Below are 27415 nucleotides of genomic sequence, written 5' to 3'. Positions count from 1 at the left end.
ATAATCCTGAATGCTGAAGTCCCAAGACATCAAAATTCCAAAAATATAACTCTGAGAAAAGTAAAAAAAATATATATATATATATTTTTTTTTTTTGCAATGGGGTCTTACTGTGTTGCCCAGGCTGGTCTGAAACTCCTGGACTCCAGGTATCCTCCCGTCTCAGCCCCCCAAATAGCTGGGACCACAGGTGTGTGTCATCATGCCTAGCTTAAAAAATTCTTTAAAAGACATTCGTTTACATTTTTAAAGAGGAATTTATTTGAGAAGTCCATAAAAATATGTCAGACTAGGCCAGGTGCGGTGGCTCATACCTGTAATCCCAGCACTTTGGGAGGCCGAGGCAGGCGGATCATGAGGTCAGGAAATCGAGACCAGCTTGGCTAATATGGTGAAACCCTGTCTCTAATAAAAATACAAAAAAAAATGAGCTGGGTGTGGTAGCGGGTGCCTGTAGTCCCAGCTACTTGGGAGGCTGAGGCAGGAGAATGGCGTGAACCTGGGAGGCGGAGCTTGCAGTGAGAGGAGATCGTGCCACTGCACTCCAGCCTGGGCGACAGAGCGAGACTCCATCTCAGAACAAACAAACAAACAAAATATGTCAGACTACTTCATAGGCATTCATTCAATAGGCATTAATAACAAATATATTTGCAAGTATATATACCCAGTTACGTTAACCATGGTTACATGGGTACAACAACTATGAACAGACTATATTCATAAGGAAATTGGTAAAAAGTGCAATGTATACACACATATCACAGTGGCAATTGTGTGCACCCGGCTTTATAACTGTGATCATCTGAAATATCGTGACAGACAACCTGAGTCATCTGACAAAATTTATCAAAAACCATGATGGTCACTACTGCATATGCAGCCACCCAAATAGCTGAGAGTTTAAGAAATTTTATCTTTCACAAATGCAGATGCACAAGAGGACATCTCTTCATTTATTGAGGAAGTTTCAATGGTTTTACATACATGCACAATGCTTACACAAAGTCAACATTGTGATAACACTCTTTTGCAAAGTCAAATTTGCCAAAAATGCATAAAATGAATTAGAACTCTCTAAAAGTCTTTACAAAATGTATGCCTCCAGTATTAGAAAGGATGCAAAACTAAAATACATAGCATAGTGATGTGTAAAAGGATAATGCTGATGATTTAAAATAGTGAGGGGAAAAACAAACTTTAAAAAAAGACCTCAAAACACCAAAAAAGAAAATTTGACAAACAGTATTACATTATGGGAAATTACACAGAGGTAGTGTATAAGAGCTAGTCAACTTTCATGATCAACTATATTTTGAAGTTTTGCATTGTGATGAATAGCTGTTTGTTTATTTTCTTTTAGGGCATTGCTCACCTAGGAGAATATGTTTACATTCATGTTCTAGTGGTGCTGCTCTTTTTGAAATTCTTTGGCCAGGCACGGTGGCTCATGCCTGTAATCCCAGCACTCTGGGAGGTCAAGGCAGGTGGATCACTTGAAGTCAGGAGTTCAAGACCAGCCTAGCCAACATGATGAAACCCCATCACTGAAAAAATACAAATACAAAAATTAGCCAGGCATGGTGGCATGTGCCTGTAGTCCCAGCTACTCTGTAGGTTGAGGCAGGAGGATCGCTTGAGCCCAGGAGGTGGAGGTTGTAGTGAGCCGAGAGCATGCCACTGTACTCTAGCCTGGGCTACAGGAATGAAACCCTGTCCCCGACCCCCACAAAAAAAAAAAAGAAAAGAAAAAAGAAATTCTTCTATGATTCCATATCCACCAACATAAGCATGCTCTATCGAATCTTCCCATCTTCTGTGCCATGCTTCTATTTTGTTTTGGGTATGCAGAAATCCATTAAGCATGGACTCATATACAGGCCACAAATTTGGTGGAAACAATACTAGTGATTGACCAAAGGAAAAAAAAAAAAAGTTGCCTAAGTGTCTTTTTACCCTACCATGCACATAATTATTTACAAACTAGTCAGTAACTTCACTGGCTTCTTCAGACAAATGCAGCTTTAATTCATTCAAATCTCCTAAAATTCCATCAGCTGGAAGGAAATGGCCAGTGCAGACACCTGAAACATTTTTAAACTGAAGTTTTCGTTGTTGCCATATCATGTGGCAATCCACACATCTGAATTTTTTGCCATATGCATTGGGCTGAATGGAGAAAACAAACTATTGGTAACACCTTGAAATTCACTTTTAGAAGCCTTGATTGTACCTAATTCCAAATCTGTCATTATGGTTTGGGGATTCAATTGTAATTCATTTTCTTCTGCAAGTCCACCAAATCTTCAAATAAATGTTTATAAAGTGCTTGATTTTTTCCAGTCATTAAAACATAAATGAGGCCAGGTGCAGTGGCTCACGCCTGCAATCCCAACAGTTTGGGAGGCCAAGGCAGGAGGATTACTTCAGTCCAGGAGTTCAAGACCAGCCTGGGCAATATAGCAAAACCCTATTTTTACAAAAAAAAAAAAAAAAAAAAAGTACAAAAATTAGCCAGGCATGGTAGCACTCACCTGTAGTTCCAGCTACTCAGGCTGAGGCAGGAGGACGGATTGAGAGCCCAGGAAGTTGAGGCTGCGGTGAGTTGTGATAGTGCCACCGCACTCCAGCCTGGGCAACAGAATGAGACTTTGTCTCGAGAAACAAAAACCCATGAATGAAGCCAGGCACGGTGGCTCTTGCCTATAATCCCAACACTTTTGGAGGCCACAGCAAGAGGATCACTTAAGTCCAGGAATTTCAAGACTAACTTGAGCAATATAGTGAGACCCCATCTCAATTTAAAGAATAATAATCATCATTATTCAAAAATTTAAAAGAAGTAAATAAGTTCTAGAATTTTCAGATCCAATAAGGGCATGAATTAGGCAGAGTTGATAAGAAAAACAGTAGGGACGGTTTTGAAAGTGCCATCCATTGGCCAAAATGAAGCATGCACTAGTTTGTCTATGATAAATTTAGTGGTAAATATAGGAAATCTATCTTCTTCCAAAGTCAAATCCCTAACCAAGAATAGTTCACCATCTATGTACATTATAATCACGGGAGAAACTTCCATATCAGCAAATATATTTAGTGCAGAAGGTCACTGAGCCTGTTGAATTATTTTTATCCTATGACAAAAGGTGTTTTTGGAAAGCAAGCATGGTCCTGTGTGTAAAGAGACTGATAGTGTACACAACTGAATAATTTGGCAGGGGAGATTTCTTGTATTTTTCACCTGCTTTTTTACCCCCTCTATGATCTTTGAAATACTGGAAATATGAGGGCAGATCTTCCCCACCTAGTCCACTCAGACACACACACTAATCTCCACATCGACACACCCGTAATAATGCTTTACTGGGTTTACAGGTATTCTTTTATCCAGTTAAGTTGGCACCTAAAATTAAGTCCACAAGTCCACCCCTTATCAGTTGAAACCCATACGAAACTCCTTAAACCATACTTAGTTTCCAAATAAAGACAATAACAAGATAATAGTTTCACCTAACATGATCCAACTAATATGATGCAACTATTCTGCAAACAACAGAAAATACATTAATTTCTTCTCCAAAATTCATCTTTTAGGATTTCAACATTTGAGGTTTTAATCTTCTGGAGTGTGATTTTCAGGATTTTTTATGTTAAATATTTTGATCTTTCAAGGTTGCAGCATTCAGAATGTTGGTGTTTGGGATTTTGTCTTGGGATTGACTGGCACCATCAGATAACTTTTTCTTTTTTTTTGTCATGCTTTAAGTTCTGGGATACATGTGCAGAACATGCAGGTTACATAGATATACACATGCCATGGTGGTTTGCTGCACCCATCAACCTTTCATCTATATTAGGCATTTCTCCTAATGCTATCCCTCCCCTAGCCTCCTACCCACTGACAGGCCCTGTTGTGTGATGTTCTCTTCCCTGTGTTCATGTGCTCTTGTTGTTCAATTCCCACTTATGAGTGAGAACATGTGGTGTTTGGTTTTCTATTCGTGTATTAGTTTGCTGAGAATGATGGTTTCCAGCTTCATCCATGTCCCTGCAAAAGACATGAACTCGTCCTTTTTATGGCTGCATAGTATTCCATGGTGTATATGTGCCACATTTTCTTTATCCAGTCTATCATTCATGGGCATTTGGGTTGATTCCAAGTCTTTCTTATTGTGAACAGTGCTGCAATAAACTCAATTAATCAGGATTATTATAATACCTTGACATATCTACCTTTCAGACAGAAAGTGGTATGGTGACCACTTATGACAAAAACATCAAATTCAGTTTAAACAGGTTAACATAATTTTCTCAATAACAAAAGAAGATAAAAGAGCCAAAACCTGATGTTATCATACTTTCATGAAAGAAAACTTCTAAACAAAGGGCTGGATGAGCCACAGAGAACACGTTCATTTGGGTAAATCCTTCCACTTGGAGAGAGATCAAGTAGGCAGAAGAATTCTACCTGTTTATTTTACATGGATTATGAACTTTTCTGCGAGACTGAGATTTAACATTTAATCAGTCCTTTAGCAGTGAGATAACTCTCTCTTGTATCTATAAATGCTTTTATAATCCTTGACTATCAACATTGAAAAATGTAGATAGAATTCTAAATATAAATATATGTATTTGTATGCTTTCTTACTGCTCTACTTGTTCCATGAAAACAAACTATGGTTTTCCAGTAAGAATAGATGCCTTAGAGCCAGAGATAAACTAGGTTTAAATGCTTTCTTTGCCATAGAGGTGAAATATTTTGCCTCTCTGAATGTTGGTGTAATACATAAAATAGGCACAGCTCTGTTTAGATCATAAGGTTATTGCAAAAGATGAATAAATTTTCCATGTAAAGACACTTATAAAACAGTAGATACTTAATAAGTATCAACATAATATAAAACAAATAAATATATATATGATAAATAAATATAATCATTCAGGAAGTTCCTTGTGGACAGGAATGGTGTTTTATGTTCTCCATACTAAGTAAGGCACCAGGTATGTTGTCATGCAAATAGAAGGTAAATTGTCCACAGTTTAAATTATAACAATACAAATCACATGAAAGATTTTCAGAAGAAAATTGTGATGGCAAACAGCCATAATTGAAAACTATGTTGTTGTTTTTTTTTTTTTGAGATAGAGTCTTGCTCTGTTGCCCAGGCTGGAGTGCAGTGGCACGATCTCGGCTCACTGCAACCTCCGCCTCCCAGGTTCAAGCAATTCTCTGCCTCAGCCTCCCGAGTAGCTGGGATTACAGGTGCCTACCACCATGCCCAGCTAATTTTTGTGTTTTCAGTAGAGACAAGGTTTCACCATCTTGGCCAGGCTGGTCTTGAACTCCTGACCTCTTGAGCCACCTGCCTCAGCCTCCCAAAGTGCTGGGATTACAGGCGTAAGCCACCGCACCCTGCCTGTAATGAATAATTTAATGTTAAAGTATGAATCCTTCCCTGAAGAAGGCAAGGCAAAAATGCATGTTTATAGCTAAATGGAATTATTAGGCAGTCCCTGGAGAAAATGCATCATGTTAGCGTACATGGTTATAGACTGAAAATTCAGCAAAACATCCATGGTTGATATTTAGAGTTGCCATTTCACACAGGAACATGAAAATATAAGAAAATACCACTGGTTATGATAATAATATCCTCTATACTGCCTGGGCTACACAGCAGATTAAAATATTTAGAAAATATATGCTTATTAATTATATTAGCAGCAAGTGGTATCAGAGAGTGTGAGCCTCGTGCACTAAAGAGAGCCTCCTTATACCTTGTGCTTCCCTTGGAGTAATAGATCCAAGGATAGCTGTTCGGTTTACTGTGGTGAATAACGTGGATTTCCACCGCACTTTTCTACCAAAGATTTCTCTAGTTCTGGCTCTGGCTCTGAAGCAACTGCAAGAAGGCAAGGTTTCTGTTACTGAGGAACATTCTCCAAAATCTACTTCTGGGTTCCACGTAGTTCCTGGTCACCCCTTTGGCCAGTCAATCAAATTCTTTGCCTTGAAGTACATGAGTGCATTTAATAAAACCTATAAAAAAGCCAGCACCAACTAACAGCAAAATAATGTGCTAGGTACTCATTTATTGAATGTTTGCCAATGTTAAGTGTTTTACTTTTTTTTTCTTTTTTTTTTTTTTTTTTTTAATAGGTCTTGCTCTGTCACCCAGAGGCTGGAGTGCAGTGGCATAATCATGGGCTCACTGCAGCCTCAACCTCCCTAGCTCAGGAGATCATCTCACCTCAGCCTTGTAGTTAGCCGGGACTACAGGCACACATCACCATGCCCAGCTAATTGGTTTTTTGTCTATTTTTGTAGAGACAGGGTCTTCCCATGTTGCCCAAACTGGCTTCAAACTCCTGGCCTCAAGAGATCCTCCCACCTCTGCCTCCCAAAAAATTCTGCTTGGATTACAGGTGTGAGCCAACACCCCCAGCCATGTTGTTTTACTAACCATCATCTTATTAGTTAAGTGCTTTAGTAATCAATATCTCAGCAACACCATTTGTATCCACGAGGAACATACCACTCAGAGAGGTCTAGTCATTAACCAAACTCATAACCCACTACCAAGAGAGTATCATTATAACTATTAAGAGTGTGTGTTCTAAAATATTATAATTTAAAGCTCTGCTGTGTCACTTGCTAATTTTGTGGACTTTGGCAAATTTTACACCAACTAGTAAGACCATGTGTCCTGGCTTTCCCAGTTGCACATGTTGTTCCAAGGTAAGTATGCACAGTGCTCCTTTTCTGTTTGGACAATAAATTATAAAGCCATCCCACCCATAAGCATCAGCTTCCCAAAGTGCAGACAAAGGAAAAGCAAAGCACTCTCGTCATAGGAATATTGTTGAGAGTTACTGTGGTGATGACGGTAAAACTCTTCGCACAGGACATGACAGGCTGTAAAAGCCCAGAAAAGTTTTTTTCTTCTATTATTGTTATTAACTAGCAAGATAGTAAGATAGTGAGCATGTTCTGGTGTTTTAAGAGGTGAAAATAACCCTTCCAGGATCTGAAATGACTCAGAATTGGAACTTTTAGGTATGAATGTCTGCATGTGGAGCAACGTGTGTAGGAGGTAAGATGGTAAGATACGAGAAGCTATAATCAGGGAATGAATTATGGAAGGTCCTGTAGGTCAGAATGAAGAGTGTGGTCTCTATTACACTTTAAGGGGGAAGGTAGTGAAGATTTCTGAAATGAGAATTGACATGACTATATCTGTATTTTCGAAAAATAACTCATTACAGTTTCTCTTTTCCCGCCCCTCTCTCCTATTTTCCCTGTGATACCAATTCCATTCAGCCAATCCCCAAATCTTTTCTTGGCTACTTCCAGAACAATTCAAATATGTACCCTTCCCAGCATCTCCCCCATCATCTAAGAGCCTTCTGGGCACAGTTATCATCTCTCATCTGGACCACTCCAGTAGACCTAGCTCCTACTGGGCTCTCTGCTTTCACTCTTGAACCTCAAACTCAGTTTAATCATCACAGAGAAGCTAGAATCCTCTCTTTTATTTGTTTTCTTTTTAAACTTTTCTGGGGATAATTTTAGATTTACAGAAAAGTTCTGAAAGATATTATAGAGAGTTCCTGTATTCCTGTCCCCCAGCTTTCCCAATGTTACCATCATACACAACCCAGGTATGTTTATCAAAGCTGAAAAATGGGTACATCTATATTAACCTAATTACAAACATTATTTAGATTTCACTGTTTTTCCACTAATATCCTTTTTCTGTTTGAGGATTTAATCCAGGATTTTGTGTTGCATTTAACTGTTGTATCTCCTTAGTGTTCTCCAATCTATGACAGTTACACAATCTTTCTTTGATTTTCATTGACTTAACAGTTCTGAGGAACATTAATTAGGTATTTTGTATAATGTCCCTCAATTTGTGTTTGTCTTTTGTTTTCTCATGATTATGAATTTGGGAGATGATTATCACAGAAGTAAAATATCCCTCTTATCAGATCATGTTGGGTAACATTAACCTTCATTACTTGGTACTAGTGGTGTCTCCCAGGTTTCTCCATTATAAAGTTACTGCTTTTTCTCTTTCCATATTCTTGTTCATTGCAAGTGAGTCACTAAAACCTGCCCACACTCAAAGGGCAAGGAATTAAGCTCCACTTCCTCAAGGAGGGAAGATCTATATTTACTGCTTGGAATTTCCCTCTCTCTCTCTCTCTTTTTTTTGAGACAGGATATTGCTCTGTCTCCCAGGCTAGAATGCAGTCTTGCAATCATTTCTCACTGCAATCTTGAACTCCTTGGGCTCAAGTGATGCTCCCTTCTCAGGGGCCTCTTGAGTAGCTAGGACTGCAGGCACTTGCCACCATGCCCAGATAATTTTTAAAATTTTTTGTAGAGATAGTCTTCCTTTGTTATTTAATCTGGTCTCAAACTTCTGGCCTCAGGCCATTCTCCTGCTTAGGCCTCCCAAGGTGCAGAGATTACAGGCATGAGCCACCACACCTGGCCTAGGAATTCTAACTTTTTTTTTTTTTTGCACTCATTAACTATCCTTACTCCACTCCCCACTCCCCTCACCCCTGGCCCCTACTACCCTTCCCAGCCTCTGGTAACCATCCTTCTACTCTCTGTCTCTATGGGTTCAATTGTTTTGATTTTTAGATTCTACAAAGAAGTGAGAACATATGATGTTTGCCTAGGAGTTTATCTGTAAGAAAGATTTGTACTTCCTTCCTCATTTATTTATTTATTCAAACATTTTACTTATATCACTATGATTCATGAATATTTATTCTATAACATGCTTTCAAAGATAGAAATTCTATGTGTCACTTGTTTGCTTAAAATGCCCCAATGGCTACCCTTTAGAAGAAAATCTAAGAAGAAAATCCAAACTCCTTAGCCTTCTGACAAAGCCTATCTAATGCACCTAGCTTGATGCATCTATCTCATATCACTCCTCACTCCCTACTCTCGCCTTCCCCGGCCCACAGTAGCATAGCCACACTGGCCTGGTCTTCACTTGAGCTTGTTGGACTGCTCCCCTGTTCCCACCTCTGGACTTTGCATGAGGTGTTCTCTGCCAGGAATACTCTTATTTCTGGTTTTTATTTAGTACTCAGCTTAGAAGCGACCTTTTCAGAGAAGGCTTTCTTGATCACCTATTCCAAAGTAACCAGTTATTCTTATATTCTTTACATAGTAGCCATTATTGTTATTTTACTATATCAATTTGTTGTTTTTCCCCACCACCAGCACCACTTGAATGTAAACTCTAGGAGAAGACGGGCTTCATTTCACAACACCTAGCGCTCAGAACTATGTCTAGTGCACAAGAAATAATTAAATGTTTAATGAGTGTATACATAAACATGAATGAAGGGGAGGACTAAGAAACCTGAGACAGAAAGATGATTTAGAAAACTATTATAATGTAATAATCAAGGCAGAAACCAATGAAGACCTAAATTTCATAGAAGACTTGTAATGTGCTGTCTGTGCTGTTGATGATAAGTTCATTATTTCTTTTTTTTTTTTTTTTGAGACAGAGTCTCGCTCTGTCGCCCAGGCTGGAGTGCAGTGGCATAATCTCAGCTCAGTGGAAGCTCCGCCTCCCGGGTTCACGCCATTCTCCAGCCTCAGCCTCCTGAATAGCTGGGACTACAGGCACATGCCACCATGCCCGGCTAACTTTTTCATATTTTTAGTAGAGACAGGGTTTCACCATGTTAGCCAGGATGGTCTCAATCTCCTGACCTTGTGATCTGCCCACCTCAGCCTCCCAAAGTGCTGGGATTACAGGCATGAGCCACAGTACCTGGCCCATTACTTCTCCATTTCTAAAGATGCTTCCCTTCTTACTTGAGGATCATAAATTTCATACTGTAATCTAGGGATGTGCCTGGAGTTAAGCACAAAGCCACCTTTACATTAAATCAGCACAGTGACTAGTTTTCAAAAATAATTAGCTGCCCTCTTGGCTCTGCATCCCCTAGCTTTATTTGACAAATCCTTCCTTTGGTCTCCCAATCAGTTGCCAAAGCTAATTCCCAAACAGTTCCCAAACTGTTGCCTAAGCTGTTACTCAGAGCTCATGTCTACACAGGAACAAAACCAGACAAAAAAGGTGGAGAGAAAGGAGACTGCAAAGAGGGGGAATGTCTGGTATTTGTCTTCCATCTGCTTCCCCAGTCTTAAGTCTTGCTCTGCTCTATTTTCAGACCTGGGTACGTCGACCTGAGGGTGCTTTCACGGCTTCCTTACTGGAAGAACCAGCTGGAATTCCGCTGCCCACCAGTGTGTTCACATTGCCTGCCACTCCCTCCCACCCTCAATCCTGACAAGACTTTTATACTTTGCAAAAAGCAATATTATTGGCTGGGCACAGTGGCTCACGCCTGTAAACCCAGCACTTTGGGAGGTCAAGGCAGGTGGATCACTTGAGGTCAGGAGTTCAAGATCAGCCTGGCCAACATAGTGAAACTCCATCTCTACTAAAAATACAAAAAGTTAGCCAGGCGGGCGTGGTGGCCTGCACCTATAATCCCAGTCACTTGGGAGGCTGAGGCAGGAGAAGAGCTTGAACCCAGCAGGCAGAGGTTGCAGTGAGGTGAGATGGTGTCACTGCACTCTGGCCTGTGCAACAGACAGAGCGAGACTCCATCTCAGAAAAAACAGCAATATTATTAACAAAACTGCCCTACATTCACTTCAAAGGAGGTCAAGAGAGAGACAAAACCAGAAATCAGGCAATGAAGAACTTGTTTTAATTCAATCTTAAGCCCATGTTTGTACGAACCTGGAGGCTAATCTGTATGCTCACTCTGGGAGTGCTGGGTTATTAAGGTAAGTGATCAGGGAACTTATTTCCAGGAAACACTTTAAGTAAAATGTTGTAAAAGACTGTGGACAGATGTTTAGGTCCCAGAACACCAGGTACTTCAGAGGTCTTGGGGTACATGACTGTCCAGATACCTGGGCTTAATTTTGAGACATGGATTTTAGAATGGCAGAGAATGTTATGTTTGACTGTAAGCCTAGATGAAGACACTCAAATATCCTCCAGTACAATTATCAAAAACAGGGGTGACGGACTGTAAACTAAAAGAGCCAGGTTTCGGCTTGATAGCCAAATAAAAGATGTAATTGCTTTTGGAAGCTGTGTGAGGTCAATTCTCTCCCACTCCCCACAAGAGCAGCAGATAGGAACAGGCAAGAAGCAAGCAGTAGTAGCAGCAGGTGGTAGAAAGAAAGAATGAAGTGTTTCATTTCACCAGGAGAAGGGGTAATAAGGGACCATCACGCTGCAAAGCAAAGAATATGGAACCATTATGATGCTTGACATCCACATAGCAAGAAGCCTCAGCATTTGGGGGAAGTGAGATTTGGGAGGAGAATATAGAACGGCTTGGCATCCTAATAATCCCCATGTCTATGAATGCCTAAGACCCACCCGTCTAATGACAAGCTTGGAAAGGCCTGGGAAAGTAAAGTTCACACAATCACATATAAAAATGTCAACACTTTTGATGGACATCATCAAATTTAGTAATACACATCTAAGTTTTCTAAGAAAAGTTTTCAAACATTTTTTTCATTCTGACTTTCCATATCAGGGCCGTTTACATCATCCCCTTAGATATAAGGCAGGGTGAATCTTGGTGCAATCATAGAAAAATGGCAATATGTCCCCTTTATGTGGGAGGAAGTCAACAGGATAGGAGATCTAGAATAGTAACAATAGTGACAATAATAACTGCTATTTTTAACAGATGTTTATTGCTTAGACTGTTGAATCACCTTCTATTCCATAGAACAGTTACATTTCAGGACACATTAATGCCCTCCACTTGAATATAATCATAGTAATCATGTTCAAATGAAGGGTTTCTCAAAGTGAAGTCTGCATACCCCCTGAGGACTTGATTCCAAATGTTCATTCCAAATGCAGATTCCAGGGCTCTCTGTCCAGAGTTTTATTTAACCTGCCTAGAGGACACCCAGGTATCTTCATTCTATTGAGTTCCTATAGAGATTTCTGACACATGCTAATTAGATTAAGAAATCTTGCATAATTTGTAAATTTGTTTATATATGAAGCTTGAAAAACAGTAGAAAAATGAAATCTAAGTTGTATATAATGAAATGCTTTTGTGGAGTGAGGTGATGAGGAACACAGGGTAAATAAAGTCTAACAATAAATAAAAGCATATCACAAAAAACCAAACCTCCCTATTATCCCATCTTCCAGTCTTCTTACACACAGGAAACTATTATTAGTGTCTTAGATATCCTTTGAGAAATACTTTATGAATATACCAATGAACAGCTCATATATATATATGCACATCCCACGGGGGGAAATAAAAAAAGAATAGTGGCATACGGTAACACTGTCCTGTCCCTTGCTCTTTTTCATTAAATATATTTATAAGAGATAATTTCATAAGAACACATAGAGATTACTCTCATTTTTAAAATAGTTGCATGTAATTCTCTAATAAAGGATACATTTTTATGACATACAGCTCTAATAAATATAATTCACTTATCTAATTCACTGTTAATATATATTTAGGTTGTTTCCTGCATTTCGTGAGTACAAACAATGAATGATACCTTCCAACCTTTCAAAACTACTGCTCCAAGTGATGATAAGGAGAAGGATAAATCAGTCTTTCAGTGACCACAGGAAAGTGTCATGGCCATTGGGTGACATATCTGACATTCTCTGGAATGGCTGGTACATACTGTAGTACACAAAAATTTTGACCTACCACATCCCTCCATCTTCCTCTTTAGGTCATTTCTTTGCCTTCTACATCTCTTCCTTCTATCTTTCAAGATATAAAGGAACTTTTTCTCTCCTAAAATTCTACCCCTTTAAACTACCCATCTTTCTTTCATTCTACTATTTTCGTTGTCATAAATGTGCCTTAAGTCTCCCACCTGATTGAAGGTTGCTGCAGGACAGTAGCTCATGCCTCTCCCATGGTGTTTACATGGAGTTTGTAGACACTCTTTCCCTCTCTACAAAGAGAACTATGGTCATCCAATATGGTAAGCCCTATATAAGTGTAAAAAATAAAAGCAATAGGCCGGGAGCAGTGGCTCACGCCTGTAATCCCAGCACTTTGGGAGGCCGAGGTGGGCGGATCACGAGGTCAGGATATGGAGACCAGCCTGCCAACACAGTGAAACCCCGTCTCTACTAAAAATACAAAAAATTAACCGGGCTTGGTGGCGGGCGCCTGTAGTCCCAGCTACTCGGGAGGCTGAGGCAGGAGAATGGCGCAAACCTGGGAGGCGGAGCTTGCGGTGAGCCGAGATCATGCCACTGCACTCCAGTCTGGGCAACAGAGTGAGACTCCGTCTCAAAAAAATAAAAATAAGAATAAAAATAAAAAATAAATAAAAACAACAGTGAACACTGATCTACTGAATTAAAATAGCTCTTTTAGATTCTAAATAACATCTGGGATTCTAAATAATGTTTGGATGCCTTTTTCTTAAAAGATATTAGAAACCATATAATTATATTGCTGCCCTGTCTGACCCAATACTAATACACTAAACACAATCACTTGCATTACATAAACTTATGGAAGCCTGAGGTGTGCATCATGTTTTAGAGTCTGCAAAAGACTTCCATAGTTCTAAAGCTAGGAAATGTTCAATCCATCTTAATACTCTATTTAAAAATAATGCCTTTTGAACATCTAAACATGAAATCTGCTGTTTTACGTGTTTTTCTTTACCAAAGAATCATATATATCTTATTCCACATATATTTCTTTCTTTTGAATGACAGTGTAAATGTAAAACAGCTTAAATTAATAGCTACCTCTTCTGCTTTACTTTTCCCCTATGTGAAATAACTTAGAGTTGGTAGGCACTCTGTTTTAATAAGGAAGCAACCATCAAAAATTAGAAAAGAATTCAACACAATAAATTTTCTTGGCAAAATAATATATTAGCTAAATGGTTTTTATTAAATCACCTGTTCAACTGGCCTCTGGTTTAAGTGCTATACAATAAATGACAAAATAACCCTTTGCAAAAAATTTTCAGTATTCTGTCATGTAGTTACAGATTTCAGAATTTTTTCCTGTCAGTTTTATGCTGCATTTCTTTACAAAACTGACAGGAAGCTGACAAGGCAAGAAAAGTTAGAAAATGTGGCTGCTGGTGAAATTTAATAGAATGTTTCCTTTGGGGGAATAAAACATGTATTCTAAGTGCAGAAAAATATAAAGCAGAACTTTTAGGAGTTAATGATTTTCCTTAATGAAACCGCTGACAGTTATATTCCAGCTCTGGCTTTTACTTGCTGTATAACCCTGGGAAAATTAGTTACCCTAACTGTGCCTCAGTTTTCTCATCCATCAAAAAAAAAAACCCTCATAGAGTTATTGTGTAGGTAGAATGAGCAGTTATGTGTAAAACACTTAGCATGGGATGGCATTGTAATTCTAATAATAATTGTTTGGATTCACATGGCTGTCTTATGTGAGGATGAGGATTAAATAATTCGAGGCAGGTGGATCATGAGGTCAGGAGATCGAGACCATCCTGGCTAACATGGTGAAACCCCGTCTCTACTAAAAATACAAAAAATTAGCCGGGCGTGGTGGCGGGCGCCTATAGTCCCAGCTACTCCGGAGGCTGAGGCAGGAGAATAGCGTGAACCTGGGAGGCAGAGATTGCAGTGAGCCGAGACTGCGCCACTGCACTCCAGCCTGGGCGACTGAGCGAGACTCCGTCTCAAAAAAAAAAAAAAAAAAAAAAAAAAAGGAATAATATTTTAGAGTCAACATTTATAAAAAAGACAGAGTTGTATAATGATACTGCTATATATTAAATCTTCAATTTTCCAAATAGTGTTGCAAATAAGCATCAAAACTTGACAATAACTGTAATAGATAAACGTCAATAGAGTTTAGAACACACTTCCCCAAAATATGGCACCTTGGCAGTTGAGAAAACAGCAGAAACAGGAAGATCACTCTCACCTTCTCTGGACCTTTCTTTCTGGAACCATGTCATAAAATCTAGTAAGGACTTTCTGATCTTCCCCTGAAGCAAGTCATAAGACCATGTAAGAGGTGCCCTCTCTATACTCAGAGGAAAGGAGACACAGAGGTGCCAAGAAGAAACTGAACAAACAGGCTTTGCTAAGTTTCCCCCAGTTTACTATGGTTAGATCACAAACTTTTGTCCTCCTTTCATATTTCTCCATGACTATCCAATCTTCATCAAACTTAGCATAAAATTACACATGTTTGCCAGTTTCTTCAGGTCTTCATTTCCTTATGAAGGCTCCTGTATCATATAAAACTTACAGTCATTAAATTTATACGCTTTCCTCTGCTTCATCTGTTTATTATAGAAACCTCAGCCATGAATGCAGAATGGGTGAGGAAAATATATTTTTCCTTCCCTACAATGTATATGGAAAGACTATTTAAAGAGAAAAGAAGAAAAGAATGTAAACTCATTACCCCCCTGGTTTATTGCAGTCTTTGCCATTCTGGATCTATCTATTAAAGTGTTTTCTTCTAAGTTCACCCACAGCTCAAACACTCTCCACCAATTTAACTTTTCCAACAATCCATCTTATCTGGTTTCTCACCCAACCACCCACAATCACTGACAGCTTCCTCCTACACACAGGAAAAGTGCTGGTGTCTTCCAAAGGAAGTAGACAAAAAATGCTACAGCTTTGAGATAAACAATCAGAATTGCCTTGGAGCCATGAGGAGGGAACTAAAGGCAAGACAACTTCAGTTTCGTATGGTGCAATTCTTTCTAGAAGAATATAACTCTCCTCTACCTAGACAACAGGAAGCATACACACTTATATTTTCAGTAAAAGAAGGAGGTCAGAAAGTAATGGACATAGTGGGCAACAATTATAGAAACAGGAGAAAGAGAAAAAATTAGGAGACTGTATATGAAAAAGAAAGGTCAGGCCAGGCGCAGTGGCTCACGCCTGTAATCCTAGCACTTTGGGAGCCCGAGGCGGGTCGATCACGAGGTCATGAGATCGAGACCATCCTGGCTAACACGATGAACCCTGTCTCTATTAAAAATACAAAAAATTAGCCAGGCGTGGTGGCGGGCGCCTGTAGTCCTAGCTATTCAGGAGGCTGAGACAGGAGAATGGCATGAACCCGGGAGGCAGAGCTTGCAGTGAGCCAAGATTGCACCACTGCACTCCAGCCTGGGTGACAGAGCGAGACTCCATCTCAAAAAAAATTAAAAAGGTCAGCTTAGGAAGCAAAGTTCTCAAATAACATAATTAACACAGCTAGTCACTGACCAGCCCAAAAGGGGAATTGTAAGTCTTTCACGTCTTTAAAAAAGAAAACCCCACTGGCTGGGCGCAGTGGCTCATACCTGTAATCACAGCACCTTCGGGAGGCCGAGATGGGAGGCTTGCTTGAGGCCACGAGTTCGAGACCCTGGCTAACATAGGGAGACCCCCATCTCTATTAACAAAAAGGAAAATTAAATAAAAATATTTCCCGCCCCCCCCAAAACAGGACGATATATCATGGCATCAACAGGCACATTGACTCTACTGTCCCCGGTTAGCAAGTTATCATGCTTCACTTTTGAGAAGAAACTGATAGCATCATTTGCTTAAAGCACAATGATATTTAAATTTAATCGTAGTCATTTAAGTAATAAACTTGGTTCTATGTTTACTTATGTGGTACTTAAATTTGTTCTCAAGAAATTACGCTTTAAGGTTAACGTTTAAGAACTCTGGTCGTGAAAGGACCATTAGCTGCTCAATGAATCAATGGCCTGGCAACAATGTACTATCCATAGAGCAGGCTTGCCTGAAGCTTCTGCTTCTAGATGAAGGGGTGTGTGAGGAGCTGTTAGTGTTATGCTGACTTTGAGTGGAATGCCACTATAAATCATAATCCCTATCTTCAGTATGTACAGGTAGATAGAATTCGGGGACAGTGCTTTTCTCAGTAATAAAGAAAAAAAAAATCTTTCATCTTGAACCTCAGAAAGAGGGTCAATGGATGAACAGCAGTTACATTTTCATTTTCTATATACCTCTCAGGAAATCAAACAAATCAAAAAATGCATTTGGAAGCTGTCTGCTCAAATCGTCTATTCTCTATCTTGTCTGACAGAAGGGAAACTCCTTGCAGGCACAGCTGTTCTGCCAGAGACTCAAATCTGAGCACCATAAATCCTCAGTGTAAGTTCAAGAGAAAGGCTAATGATAAAGTTTCCTGTGAAAGTACTACTGAAAAGAGAAGTCACATTTTCGTTCACATTTAAACTCCCATATTGTTCAACTGTGTGCCTACCTTCCACAGAGTATATACTCAGTATTTATAAAATACATGCTGATATATATAAAATTCAACATTTAGTTGAATAATGAGTATCCTAGCTTTAGTATCCTAAAGCATTGTCAAACCCTTGCTGCTACGAAATGTGTCAGGTAAGTTTCCTTCCTGGTGGGGATGCAAACACTTTCCTTCCCTCCCTCATCTCTGCCTCCCCATTTGCAGACACCTGCTGTCAGGAGGATTTCCCAGAACCTCTCCTCCCTGTGGAAGTCCTGCTGATAAGAATGAAGACCTGCAACTATTACCCAGTCCTGGGACCTTGGCAGCAAACTCCAGACCACTTGGCAGCAAACTCCAGACCACTACATGGGCAGAAAAATGTTGGCACTTTCTTTATTCTCCCTGCAGGCATCAGCTTCTCTTTCCTAGACCCCTCAAGGGCTATGGACCAACACAGGCAATTCCATTTTCAAGGCTAACAAAAGGCTGAGCTCTAGAGGAATAGGTCATTTGCACTTCCCTGTTTTCCTGCAGGCACTTGTTTTGTTCCCCAGAGCCAGGATGGAATTGACAAACACCTGGAGGCCAGAGAGAAAAGTTTCTCATTGTACTGCTCTGCAAGAACGTATACACAGCTATTTCAGCATAAATGTCAGATGATAGTGATAAAGATGATAATAACTGAAAGAATTGTTGCTATGATTTTGTCATTAAACTGTCAAGAAAAATGGTCAATATTTTTATATGAAGGATGGAAGAGTTTGATATTTTAAAAGTACAGTGTATTCACCTTCAAGAAGATCACGCATTATATATGGTGGGAACTTTCTAAAAACTGTGAATTGGTGGCTAAACATTCCTCTACTGTTTTATATTAGACCATTTTTCTAACTGGAAGTCCACATTTAAACATTTCTAAGAAAATGATCTATTTTTGGAAATAATGTTTTATGTTTTGTAGAGATTGAGAGAATGATTTAGAGGAAGGTTGTGGACAAACTTTCTCTGGCAGAATGTGCATTGGAAATGGCTGTCTAGCTCAAAACAGCCCTTTTAACTGCTCCCTTCCTTCATAAGAGTAGGTCACCAAAGTATTTTTGGAATTCATGGTCAACCAGGATAGACATTCAGCAGTAACCAGTATGGCTACACCAGTGGTACAGGATGATAGATGCTCCCTCAAGCCCCTCAAGTCAGTCTCCTGACCTCTCCATGACCTGGAAGGTAAAGGAGGTTAACAACTGGCACCGCAAAGGTCTGTAGGCTTCCTCCTGCTCCAGCTGACTACCCGGCCCCAGCAGACATAGACTAGTAAATGGTCTCACTATCACTCTGGCTCCAACCTCTTAACAATGCTGAATTGAATCACAGATACACACCAGAATAAAGCTGGACCTTCAGATTCCCAGTTCCAGAAAACTGGAATGACAATGGACTAGAGAGAGAAATAGGAGATCTGATCCTTCAACAGAGGAAAACCACCACAAATGTACAAAGAGATGCAGCGAAGAGGGAGTGAGGAAGGGAGTGGGAGACAAAGATTTTGAGAGAGAGAGAAAGAGATGGGAATAGAGTATTCTGAATGCCAACAATTACCCATTTTTTCTTTTCCTAGAGGTTACTGCATTACTGCTTGTTACGGAGTCAATTATGTCCCTCAAAATTCATATGTTGAAGCCCTAGCCCACAATGTGACTGTATTTAGAGACAGAGCCTCTAAAGAGATAATTATAATTAAATGAGGTCATACGTGTGGACCCCTCATCTAATACAATGGGTGTTCCTACAGGAAAAGGAAGAGACACCAGAGTGCATGCACACAGCAGGTGACGCGAGGACACTGAGGAGGCAGCCATTTGCAAGCCAAGGAGAGAGGATCAGGAAAAACCTAACCTACTTGCACCTTGATTTTGAACTTCCAGCATGTAGGACTGTAAGAAAATAAATTTCTGTTTAAGTCTGTGGTATTCTAATACAGCAGCCTAGCAGATTAATTTCTGTGGGTTCTGAGAGATAACAAAATGTCATGAAAATAACCACCACTTCCTTTGCTTACCTTGGTTGGAATTGGTTTCTGTACGTGTACCATAAAATGCTAGCTACTACATTCCTATAAACATTAGATTTTAGGTTTTCTAATTTCTAACTCAAGAATCCAGAGTTAGAAGGTAAATTTAAACTGGAATTCTTGACATAATGTTTTTCAAGGATCATTCAACTGTGATAATGAATCTAAAATATATTCTGTTAAACTGACATTTGTTGTTTTCAACAGTCTGAGCCTGGAATCAAATGTTTTCAGAAAGGCCTCTTTCCTGTAACTTGGTACAAATATAGGCACATTCTCAGACCAACCTAGCCTCAGAAGAGATATACTAGCCAAATTTCTGAAGTGAGTGGCAGTTTACACATTTCTCTGAAGTGAGGTGTTGTATTGTTCCGGTCACAGGAAAAAAAAAAAAGATTCATGCGTTGTTCCACTTAAATAGGGTATCTTTATTCAGACCTAGTTACAGGGCTTGTACTTTTCCACAGTTTATGAGGATACTTCTGCGTTCCTTCGGGTGACAGCCTGAAGCACGAATAAGGGAGCTCTGCTTCTTGTCTAATTAGCTATGCCTTTCTATGTTTGAATAAATGGCCTACGTCTGCCAGTGCACACTTAAAAGTAGTAGTCCTAATATCACCCTGAACAGGACTATGCGCTCGAGTAGGTACCTTGTGTGGCAGAACGATGTGGTGTTAAATAAGCCTATATCCTCCACAGTCAAAGTTCAGGCAGGCCCTTTTAATAAAAATGGACAAGTGGAATTCTAGCCGACTACATATTTGAAGAGTGCATTTCATGGTTTAGTACAAGAACCTAATGTGCACCAAGATGATCGGTAAAATTCTCATTGAAGTATTCTATGGGATCAAGCCTAAAAAGTATCCATTTCAACTACAAATCTACCAAAGGCTAAAATGGCAGTGTTAAGGTTGTACAACTTGAAAATAATATAATCTGACAAGACCATTAGTACAAGTACAAGCCTTTCAATAATAAAAATAAAGATATAGGCCCCCAAATAAATAGCATCAGACTAAAACTTGTGTCTCTTTCCACATAAGATGCTACTTCATCTACTATTACTAGATAACCAATGTAGATTAATAATGACCATACAATGTAAGGAATAATAAAAATATAAGTATATCATGTATTCCACACAATAATCCAATACAGGTGACATTACTCTCATTTAAAAGATGTGGAAATGGAACCACAGAGAGGCGAAGTAATTTGTACAATGCCACAAAATTACGTGTTGAACTAGGTAGCCAATCTAAGTCATTCTGACATTAAAATCTCTGTGCTCTTAATTCCTTCACTCTACTGCCTTTTCTAAGTGCTGAGAGTATAGTTTGGATGAGAAAAATCTGAATATCTAAATCCTTTTACAAGCTAGATCAGTAACTGGACATTTGAGCCTGGTCTAATTTCTTTCCTTTCCTGGGCGTCATTTTCTTTTCTTTATCTATTAAAAAAAAAAAAATTGGGCTGGACTTCGCAATCCCTTCCAGGGAGAACATTTGGTTCTGTTCAACCTCAAGTCCAGAAATGGCAGACTCCCAGCAGCCCCAAATTCATGTAATCTGCACTTGCCAATAACAGTGATTCATCCTGTGTATAAGTAAATGAAATTCAGGGCCAGGCATTGTGGCTCACTCCCAGCACTTTGGAAGGCCAGCGCAGGTGGAGCATTTGAGGTTAGGAGTTTGAGTACATGAAATTTGCTTTTTATTCCTCTGTACATTGTTTCATATTAAATACACTAAGCATTTTGGGAAAAAAAGTTATATACCAAATTAATTTGAGCTCTTTCATTTTATGGAAAAATGCATGCTTTAACTAACTGGATGCTTTATAAAAGTCTTTAGGTGAAGTTTAACTATAGTCCTGCAAATTGAAAAAGGAAACATTTTCTCTATTGCTTCAGTCTTTATACCTCACAGTCCATCTGTTACCACAGCACTGATTGTGATGTCACAACTGCAATTAGTTACACTCAGAGACAAACAGGAAAAATGCCAAGGGAGATGGTGCCCAGGCGTCAATAACTTGTGATTACTGTACTACTTATGAAATAGAAAGTTCAAATTCAGGAGACCTGCTTTCAGGTTGTCGTTATGCCACTTAGTAGCTATGTATCCTTAGGCAACTCATTTAATAGAACAATGATTTATGAGCTTGATTTCTTAAGCCAAATGGTTTGTGTTCAAATCCTCGTTCTGCTAGTTGACATAGGCACACTAGTTAACTTCTCTGTGCCTCTGTTCTTTACCTATAAATTGAGGAACTATGACTGCCTATCTTCAAAAGGTTGCAGAAAGAATAAAATATTATATTATATAAAGCATTTATCAAAGAGCCTTCTCCCTACTAAGTGCTCAGAGTTTGCCTTTATAAAGCATCTGTATTTTGAGTGAGTCCATTGTTAGGTAAAGTTCTACATAATAACTCTCTGAGTTTCTTCATTGTTAAAAATCAGGAAACAATTGCATGTACTTCATAAGACTGTTATCAAGACTAAATGTGGGAACCCAGAGAAAAGTATTTTGTAAGCAAAAGGCACTAAATTATCATTTGGTTAACATCTATATTTTGTTATTGTAAGATGATCTTGTATTAATTTAAAAATATTTACTAAGTGCTTGGAATATAAAAGGCACTGGACCAGGCATTGTGGAGAATATCAATCAGATATGGATTTTATGGTAATACAAGAATATTGATACCTCTAATATAGAAGATAATGAGTACCAAACCAGTACTCTAAATGGAAGTCTTTGAGGTGAGCATTGAAGAACAGAAAGATTTAAACATGGGGGAGGGAAGAGAAGAAGAGGAAAAAAGGAAGCATCCCTGACAAATAGTATCACAAAAAGCTAGGAGGTGAAAAAATACAGATCATGTATGATAAAAAGTGAGTGGTACAATTTAGCCAGAGGAGAATATGTGAAGGGATGGAGAGAAGTAATGAGAATGAAGCTACGTAACAGAGTGTGTTATATGTAGGAAGAACAACCACCACAATTTAGATTAAAAGTTATAAGGTATTAAAAAAGAACAGCCTAGGTAGAAAATATATAGAAAAGGATTAGATAAGTTTGGTATTCTTAAGCCTCTGCCATTATTATTCTATGTTCATGTTTCAGGGGGTGGTGAAGGAAGCCTACTGACTCTCACATCAAGTTCACATTCATGAATCTGAACTTCAAAACCTTTTATAATCTGTCCCAGAAGCCCATCTTTTGTCACACTCCTCACCAACTCTCTTGGTTTCCTCTGAGGCCGTAAAAAACACCAGGTCCCAATTTCTTGCGTTGGCTATTACTAGCTTCTGGTTTATTTTCTTCATCTTCTACCTATCTATGCCAGATTATAACCCTTCCCTAAATCTCATTTCCATCAGAAAGCTTTCCTTGATAATCTAAAACATATCACTCTCTTCCATCTCTACATACTTTATTGCATATCCATTTCATCAAATGGCAACATGGAAGAACTATCACTGACCTAGGAATAAAATGACAAGGGTCCTGGCAGCATGTCTTGTCTTTGATTTGAGGCACGTTATTCAATGCCACAGGCTCCGTCCTTGGTAAAATGAAATATTTGTGAATTAGCAAACTTTAAAGTCATTTCCTGTCATTCATTCAACAAATATATAATGAACATCCACCTGTGCTGAGCTCTATCCCAGGTGCTGAGGATACAGAGGTGAAAACAAAATATCTATCTATCTATCTATCTATCTGTCTGTCTGTCTGTCTATCTATCATCTATCAGCTACTATACTATAATTGCATTCTTTTTATTTAATTTAATTTTATTTATTTATTTATTTAATTTTTTTTTTTTTTTTTGAGACAGTTTCACTCTGTTGCCCAGGCTGGAGTGCAGTGGTGCGATCTCAGCTCACTGCAACATCCACATCCCGGGTTCAAGCAATCCTCAAACCTTGGCCTCCAAATAGCTGAGATTAGAAGCATGCACCACCACACCTGGTTAATTTTTGTATTTTTAGTAGACACGGGGTTTCACCATTTCACCATGTTGGCCGGGCTGGTCTTGAACTCCTGACCAAATGATCCACCCACCTCCGCCTTCCAAAGTGCCAGGATTACAGGCGTGAGTCACTGTGCCTGGCAACTATGATTGCAATCTTATAATGTAGTGGTTCTCAAAATTGAGCTTGCATTAGAATTACCTGGAAAACTTGTTCAAAGATTTCTCTGTTTCTGATGCAATAGATTTGGAGTAGGGCCCCAAACTTTTAATTTCTAAGATGTTTCCTGGTGATGCTGATGCCACTGAACCAAGGACCACATTTACAGACCTTCTTTTCTGGCAGACTATTGTTTTCACTGCTGTATTGTCAGTGCTTGAAATAAATATTGATGGAATGAAATAATAAATTTGAGGCACTTAGTTAACTGATAAAGGGGGATATATAATGATTTTACAGTTTAGAAGGAAAATCACAATTTTGCTGAAAGGTAAAGGAGTTACTATAATCAGAAAGGTACAAGGTATATCAAGGTTTATATCCAAAGAAAAACAAAATTACTTCTAACCTAGGGGAAAGGGTAGAAAGGTCATAGAAAGCTTTGTGGAGTAGTTTATTTGAGCTATTCCTTGAAGGACCCGTACACTTATTTCAAAAATGACTGTCATTACTCAAAATATTTGTAGTTCTTGTCTTTGGAATTTGTCTACTGAATCAATAGTGAATCTTTTCTTTTTTCCTTACACTCTATAGTGAATCTTTTTTTAAAAAATTCCTTCAAAGTGTATAGAATTTTTGTATTCTGATGTAAGGTTTGATATTTGGAATTAGCTAAGCATGATATTTTTGCCAAATCTGGTCAGGAAGTTGGGTGATTTTGTTGCATAATCCTGTTCTTTGTTAAAAATAAAGTATACTTTTCAGTTAATGTACCGATTTTCTAGTATGACTTATAAATGAAGGCCCAAAGCAATTTCAGGGTAGAAGTTCAAAAATCAGTCTGAGGCCAGGTGCAATGGCTCATGCCTGTAATGCCAACTCTTTGGGAGACTGAGGCAAGCAGATCGCTTGAGCTCAGGAGTTCAAGACCAGCCTGGCCAACACGGTGAAACCCCGTCTCTACAAAACGCACAAAAAATTAGCCATGAGTAGTGGCACACGCCTGTAGTCTTTACTCGGGAGGCTAAGGCAGGAGAATTGCTTGAGCTCAGGAGGCAGAGGTTGCAGTGAACCAAGATCACGCCATCGCACTCCAGCCTGGCTGACAGGAGTGAAATCCTGTGTCAAAAAAAAAAAAATTCATTTTGAACAATGGATTAAGTTTGTAGTTTCTGAAAGTGATTAAAGGACAGTTTCCATTTGGCCATAGATGCTCTTGTGTGTTTGAAATCAGTCTTAATATATCTGGTATCAATCTGTTGAAAGAATCAACGTCTGGACATACACTATACCATGTACACTTTTCTTCAGAGTGTATGCCATGCTATAAATATCTAAAATTTAAACTTTATGGGAATAAAAAAGCAGTATAAAAATGGATGTTCTTCCAAGTTAGATCTATAAAAAAATATGTACTGGTACCAGGAAATATACATAGGTTTATCTGAGCTCTTGATTTGGGGACATTGAGTTAACAATAAGTATTAGTTCATGTGTTCTGGGCATGGAATTACATGGTGGGTCACACTGGTCCTGTATGAACGGGGGCATGACAAACCATTCTTCTAGTTTGGAACAGTGGGACTAAAGAGAACATGGAAAGCCTGTGACTAAAGCACACTCTACAGTCATAACTTCCCCCTTCTTGTTTGTCCCATAGTCCTTCAGCTACTCTCTGTTCACCCAGTCTTCATGTCCAGGGTATCTTCAGTAGCAGATCAGCATGTACTAGAATAGTATATTAATAGTAAATTCATAATGTTTTAAAAACCTTTACCTCAAACCTTTTAATAGAGTGTACCAAATTTAGTTTGGTCTGATGTAAATGAGAAAATCTACTACCAATCCCTAGGACCAATGATTCTTAAAGATCTCCAAACCAGCAGCATCAGCATCACCTGAGAGCTTATTAGAAATGCAAATTCTCCAGACCTGATAAAGCAGAATCTGACTTAACAAGCCATGGCTCAAGGTGGTTCTGCTACATGTGAAGACCACTGGTTTAGACAGTATCAGCAGTAAAGAAACTCTGTCAAGATGTGCAATCTTCTACGAATTTTGCAACATATTATAATACCCCATTACCATCTTCATGATTACTACATTTAATACACACACAATTACACACATATTCAACTTGTAAGTTACCCTTGACAGAATGTGTATAAAAAAGGTATGCCTTCTCTTTGTAAAGTGATGGTATAGAAGGAAGAAAAATAGATTTGTCTTTAGTTTTTTTAAATGATACTATCCTTAACCCCTCCCCTTTCGTCCCCAATAAAAGAATCACACTGGGGAAACATTGCTAGCAGGTGACTATTCCGTTTCTTTGACATAGCAGGAAAATCTTATTAGGTGATGTAAATGAACCTTGTCACTTGCAAATATAAACTGTCGCGCATCTTGGGTGAACAGCTAAGTGCAGAACTGTTTCAAAAACTTGAAGGTAAATGGATGTCTTATTTGCAGCTAAACCATCATACTCATGTCAAATCTATTCATTGGAATAGGATACTGAAGATACATAATACAATTTTTTTGCTGAAATTTAAAAGTTTCATAATCCACTTAAGAGGCATATTTCAGAATAAAATAATTCTCTGTTTTGGAATTAAAGCACAGGCTTGGAGCAGTCCAGTCCACAGAAGTATAATGCAATCTATCCATATAATTTTAAATTTTCTAATAGCCACATTTAAAAAAGTAAAATGAAATGAATAACATTAACTTCAAAATAATTTTTTACTCAAATATATAAAAATATTACATTTCGACTTATAAAAAATATAAAATTGATGGGCTATTTTTACTTTTTTTGTATTTGATCATTAAAATCTTTCATGTATGTTACATGTATGGCACACCTCAACCAGTATGTTAAATTTTGACTGGAAATACTTTCTTTTTATTTGTTTTTATTTTTTGTCTTAGTGTTCTTCAAAATGATTTTTATTTAGAACACAATTTATTATTGCAAAAGTAGATTCTATATCCAAGTTGTTCTAAATACTAAAAAAGTTTTCCAATAGCTTACTGAACATTAGTTTTTATATTTAAATAAAAAATGAGATTTAAAATTCATTTCTTCAATCACACTAGCTTCATTTCATATATTCAATACACGTAAGGCAGTGTAGAATTGGAGCTATGCGAGACCAAGCTGGGTTAGAATCCTGACTTGGCCTCTTTCCAGCTGCTTGTCCTTGGGAATTTACCTAGCCCTCTCCAAGCTTCAGTTCTAGCTTCGAATTGCAGGCGGGGAAACACCACACTGAATATGTTTTAACTCCTACCTGCAAAGCTAACAGCAGAAGACAAACACCCGCTATTTGTTTCTCCCTTCATGGAAGTGGTGGACTCACTGCATGATATAATAAAAATCAGAACCAATCAACGTAGGGATAGTTAAGTAAATTTCTTTATTCCATACTCTGAAGCCATAAAATACTAATAACTAATTAATCACTAATTTATTTAATCACCAATTAATATTGAAATCGGTTGTTATTAAGGAAGAAAACCGTAATATTAGGAATAGCACGACGGCTGCCCGTGTGCTCAGGAAAAACCTAGAAGGGTCTGCCACCCATCCATTAACAGCGGTTATAGGAAGCAACAGAATGGGGGCAGGGCCCAGCCGGCACACGCTTCAGTTTATATTTCTTGTCAGTTAATTTCCAAAAACGTTGTTCTAAAAAGGAGATATAATACTGTTTTAGTTTAAGGGGCAAATCTCAAATGTGCTGAAACGACTACGCTTTTCCCTCAGTCTGGAATGTGATTTTAAATCTAGCTTAACTATACTATAATAAAAGGCCACATGAAAATACTTTGTCAGAACGAAAAACACGCCGCCTTAAATCCGCTTTCGGTTGGCGGTTTCC

At 38.6% G+C, this 27415-nt stretch overlaps 1 protein-coding gene across 5 annotated transcripts in view, besides 4 other annotated features; it reads right to left on the bottom strand.

Moving 5' to 3' along the window:
• The window catches only part of PRKG1 (protein kinase cGMP-dependent 1), a 1307463-nt gene that overhangs the window by 570980 nt on the left and 709068 nt on the right, over window positions 1-27415 (bottom strand). The gene's annotated exons all lie outside the window — the stretch shown is intronic.
• Window positions 17595-18095: an enhancer, noted in NCBI's record as "H3K4me1 hESC enhancer chr10:53469036-53469536 (GRCh37/hg19 assembly coordinates)". NCBI's record gives its function as "activates a minimal SCP1, AML or CMV promoter by ChIP-STARR-seq in naive H9 embryonic stem cells {active_cell/tissue: H9 hESC(naive)}" and the evidence as "EXISTENCE:reporter gene assay evidence [ECO:0000049][PMID:30033119]".
• Window positions 26648-26942: a silencer, noted in NCBI's record as "tiled region #685; K562 Repressive non-DNase unmatched - State 5:Enh". NCBI's record gives its function as "represses a minimal TATA promoter and a strong SV40 promoter by Sharpr-MPRA in K562 cells {active_cell/tissue: K562}" and the evidence as "EXISTENCE:reporter gene assay evidence [ECO:0000049][PMID:27701403]".
• Window positions 26648-27384: a biological region, named in NCBI's record as "Sharpr-MPRA regulatory region 685".
• Window positions 26696-27384: an enhancer, noted in NCBI's record as "H3K27ac hESC enhancer chr10:53459747-53460435 (GRCh37/hg19 assembly coordinates)". NCBI's record gives its function as "activates a minimal SCP1, AML or CMV promoter by ChIP-STARR-seq in primed H9 embryonic stem cells {active_cell/tissue: H9 hESC(primed)}" and the evidence as "EXISTENCE:reporter gene assay evidence [ECO:0000049][PMID:30033119]".

The sequence above is a fragment of the Homo sapiens genome, chromosome 10 (assembly GCF_000001405.40).
Source record: "Homo sapiens chromosome 10, GRCh38.p14 Primary Assembly".
Lineage (NCBI taxonomy): Eukaryota > Metazoa > Chordata > Mammalia > Primates > Hominidae > Homo > Homo sapiens.
The sequence above is the reverse complement of the archived record's forward strand: the minus strand, read 5'-3'. Positions and strand labels throughout refer to the sequence as shown.